Source organism: Homo sapiens, chromosome 3 (genome assembly GCF_000001405.40).
Source record: "Homo sapiens chromosome 3, GRCh38.p14 Primary Assembly".
NCBI lineage: Eukaryota > Metazoa > Chordata > Mammalia > Primates > Hominidae > Homo > Homo sapiens.
Window position 1 is genome coordinate 165,113,232 of NC_000003.12, and position 5,124 is coordinate 165,118,355.

Consider the following 5,124-nt stretch of genomic DNA (forward strand, 5'->3'; position numbering starts at 1 on the left):
TTCCATAGAAACAAAATAACTAGAATATATATAGAGAGAGATCTATGGGAGTGGCTCATGTGATGATGGAAGGTGGCAATTCCAAAATTTGTAGGACAGGCCACCAGACTGGAAATTTGGGGGCAGGAGTTGATGATGCAGTCTTGAGGAAAAACTTCTTTTTCCTCAGCGAAACCTCAGTTTACTTTTAACACCTTTAAAATGATTGAATGAGGCCCATACACATTATCAAGAATGATCTCCCTAAATTTAAGTAAACTGATTGCAGATGTTAACCGCATCTACAAAACACCTTTACTATAAGATCTATATTAGTTTTTAAGTTAGGTACAAATCTATTTAGCCTAGCTAAGCGTACACATTAAACTAACCATCACAGATTCTTTGGGATTTTCTAGGTGGATAATAATATGTCATCTATAAATAAGGCAGTTATATTCCTCTTTTTCCCATCCATATAGCTTTTTATTCCTGTATCTACTGTACTGGTCAGAACTTCCAGAACAATGTTAAATAAGAATGATCAGAGTACCTGTTCTTCCTTGTTACTTATATAACATAGAAAGCATTTAATCTTTCAACATTAAGGTGACGTTAGCTGTAGAATCTTAGGTTGAGAAAGTTTCCTTCTATTTCAAATTTGTTGAGAGATTTTTATTATAAATAGATATGGAATTATAAAATGCATTTTATATGATCATGTAATGGGTTATTGACATTTGAATATTGAATCAGCCTTGCATCCGTGAGATAAATCCCACTTTGATGAAGAGTTTTGAGGTTTTTGTATTTGTTTAGTGTATTCATTGATAGATTCAAATTTCCAACATTTTATTGAGGATTTATTTCTCTGTTCATAGTAGATACTAGTCTTACATTTATTTTCTTTTATTCTTCAAAATTATAATTTGATATTATTTTATTTAAAAAATATTTTATTTTAAGTTCCAGGGTACATGTGCAGGATATGCAGGTTTGTTACACAGGAAAACATGTACCATGGTACTTTGCTGCACCTATCAACACATCACCGAAGTATTAAGCCCACATGCTTTGGCTATTTTTCCTGATGTTTTCACAACCTGCTGACAGGCCCTAGTGTGTGTTGTTCACTTCATTGTGTCCATGTGTTCTCATTGTTCAGCTCCCACTTTAGTGTGAGAACATGCAGTGTTTGGTTTCCTGTTCCTGGGATAGTTTGCTGAGGATAATGGCTTTCAGCTTCATTCGTGTCCCTGCAAAAAACATGATCTTATTTGTTTTTAATGGCTGTGTAGTATTCCATGGTGTATATGTACCACATTTTCTTCATCCAGTCTACCATTTGTGGGCATTTGGGTTGATTCCATGTCTTTGCTATTGTGAATGGGGCTGCAATAAACATATACGTGCATGTACCTTTATAATAGAATGATTTAAATTCCCTTGGGTATATACCCAGTAATGGGATTGCTGGGTCAAATGGTATTTCTGTCTTTAGATCTTTGAAGAATTACCACATTGTCTTTCACAATGGTTGAACTAATTTATTCTTCCACCACGAGCTGGTCTCATAAAAAAATTAGGGAATAATTATTTCTATGATTTTTCTGGTATCAGTAATAATTCTGATTGCTGTGTGGTGGTATCTCATTGTGGTTTTGATTTGCATTTATCTTATGATCTGTGATGTTGAGCTTTTTTTCATATGTTTGTTGGCTGCATAAATGTCTTCTTTTGAGAAGTATCTGTTCATGTGCTTTGCTCATTTTTTAATGGGGTTGTGTGCTTTTTTTTCTTATAAATGTATTTAAGTTTCTTATAGACACTGGATTTTAGACCTTTGTCAGATGAATAGATGGCAAAAATTTTCTCCCATTCTGGAGTTTGTAAGTTCTGATAATAGTTTCTTTTGCTGTGCAGAAGCTCTTTAGTTTAATAGGTCCCATTTGTCAATTTTTTCTTTTGCTGCAATTGCTTGTGCTATTTTTGTCATGAAATCTCTGTCTGTGCCTATGTCCTGAATGGTATTGCCTAGGTTTTCTTCTAGAGTACTTAAAGTTATAGGTTTTACATTGAAGTCTTTAATCCATCTTAATTTACTTTTTGGATAATTGATAAGGAAGGAGACCAGTATCAATTTTCTGCATACGGCCAGCCAGTTCTTCCAGCACCATTTATTAAATAGGGAATCCTTTCTCCATTGCTTGTTTTTGTCAGGTTTGTCAAAGATCAGAAGTTGTAGATGTGTGGTCTTATTCCTTAGCTCTCTATTCTGTTCCATTGGTCTATGTGTCTGTTTTTTGTACCAGTTCCATGCTATTTTGGTTGTTGTAGGGTTGAAGAATAGCTTGAAGTTGGGTAGCGTAATGCCTCCAGCTTTATTGTTTTTGCTTAGGATTGTCTTGGCTATCTGGGCTCTTTTTTGTTTACATGTGAATTTTAAAATACTTTTTTTTTGCTAATTCTGTGAAGAATGTCAATGGTAGTTTAATGGGAATAGCACTGAATCTATAAATTGCTTTGGATAGTATGGCCATTTTTACCATATTGATTCTTCCTATCTATGAGCATGGAATGCTTTTCCATTTGTTTGTGTCCTCTCTGGTTTCCCTGAGAAGTGATTTGTAGTTCTCCTTGAAGAGGTCCTTTGCTTTTCTTGTTAGCTGTATTCCTAGGTATTTTATTCTCTTTGTAGGGACAGTTGAAAAGGAGGGACTCCTCCATAACTCATTTTATGAGGCCAGCATCATCCTGATACAAAAACCTGGCAGAGATGTAACAACAAAAAATAAAACTTCAGGCCAATATCCCTGATGAACATTAATGCAAAAATCCTCAGTAAAATATTGGCAAACTGAATCCAGCAGCACATCAAAAAGCTAATCCACCATGATCAAATAGGCTTCATACCCAGGATGCAAGGCTGGTTCAACATATGCAAATCCATAAACCTAATGCATCACATAAACAGAACTAAAGACAAAAAACTCACATGATTATCTCAATTTATACAGAAAAGGCCTTTGATAGAATTCAACATCACTTTATGTTAAAAACTCTCAATAAACAAGGTACTGAAGGAACATACCTCAAAATAATAAGAGCCATTTATGACAAACTGACACTCAACATCATACTGAATGGGCTAAAGCTGGAAGCATTCCCCCTTGAAAACTGGTAAAAGACAAGGATGCCTTCTCTCATCACTCCTGTTCAACATAGTACTGGAAGTTCTATCCAGGGAAATCAGGCAAGAGAAAGAAATATATGGGATTCAAATTAAAAGTTAGGAAGTCAAATTGTCTTTGTTTGACAATATCTAGAAAACCCCATTGTCTCAGTCCAAAAGTTTCTTTTGTGGTTTATTTTCTTGTACGATATTTATTAGGTTTCACCATTAAGATCATGCTGATCTCATAAAAAAAATTAGGGAATAATCATTTATATGATTTTTCTGGAATAAATGATTTATGGAATTCACCAGTTTAAATATCTAGGACTAAAAAATTTCCTTTTGAATGATTATTTACAATCCCAGTATCTTAAGTAGTAAAAGTGTAGAATTATTCTGCTTATGTATTTCATCAGTGGGGGGGTGGTTAAGCATTTCATGGTTTTGTTGCATTCCATTTAAGTATTCTAATTTATATGCATACAATTGTTATAACATTCCCTTACTATGCTTTTAATGTCTATGGCATTTGTAGTGACATCCTGCCTTCCATTTCTAGTATTAGTAATTTGTGTTTTATCTCTCTTTTTTTAAAAAATATGAAAAATAGACTAGTGTTTGACCATCTGTATATCATTCCATGTTCACATACTCTCTTATTTAATTATTGCAAAACTATTTTAAGTAGGTAATACTATCTTTTTGCTGCAAACAAATAAAATGTTGATTTGGAGAGGGTTATATTATTTTCTAAAAATAAACTGGTTATAACTTGAAGATCTATGTTTAAAGTCAAGTCATGTATGTGCATACATTCTGAAAAATGTGTCATCAGGTGATTTCATTGTTGTGTTGACATCATAGAGTGTTCTTACACAAACCTATGTCATACAGCCTTACAAAAATCTAATATAGCACATATAGGCTATATAGCATAGTATATTGCTCTTAGACTACAAACCTGTACATCATGTTACTATACTCAGTGGCGTAGGCAACTATAACAAAATAGTAAATATTTGTGTATCTAAACATAGAAAAGATACAATAAAATAATGCATAAAATATTTTTAAAATGGTCATGTGTCTAGGGCACTTACAATAAATGGAGCTTGCAGGACTGGAAGTTGTTCTGGGTGAATCAGTGAGTGAGTGGTGAATGAATGTGAAGGCCTAGGACATTGTTGTACACTATTGTAAACTCTGTAATCACTGTACACTTAGGCTACACTAAATTTGTAAAAAAAAAAAATCTTTCTTCAATAATAGATTTACCTCAGCTTACTGTAACTTTTTTACTTTATAAACAAAATTTTTTTAAAAAATGATAACTTTTGTAATAACGGTTTAAAACACAATCTAGTTATACAAAAATATTTTCTTTCTTTATATCCTTATTCTATAAGCTTTCTTCTATGTTTTAACTTTTATTTTAAGTTCAGGGGTACATGTACAGGTTTGTTATTTAGGTAAATTTTTGTCATGGGGGTTTGTTGTACAGATTATTTCGTTACCCAGGTATTAAGCATAGTATTCATTAGTTATTTTTCCTTATCATCTCCCTCCTCCACTCCACCCTCCTATAGCCCCCAGTGTCTGTTGTCCCCCTCTATGTGTCCATGTGTTTTCATCATTTAGCTCCCACTTATAAGTGAGAGTATGCAGTATTTGACTTTCTGTTCCTGTGTTAGTTTGCTACAGAAAATGGTCACCAGCTCCATCCATATCCCTGCAAAGTACATGATCTCATTTTTTATGGCTGCATAGTACTCCATGGTACATATGTACCACATTTTCTTTATCCAGTCTACCATTGATGGGCATTTAGGTTGATTCCATGTATTTGCTATTGTGAATAGGACTGCAATGAACATATACTTGCATGCGCGTTTATGTTGAATGGTTTATATTCCTTTGGGTATATACCCAGTAATGGAATTTCTTGGTCTAATGGTCGTTTTGTTTTTAGG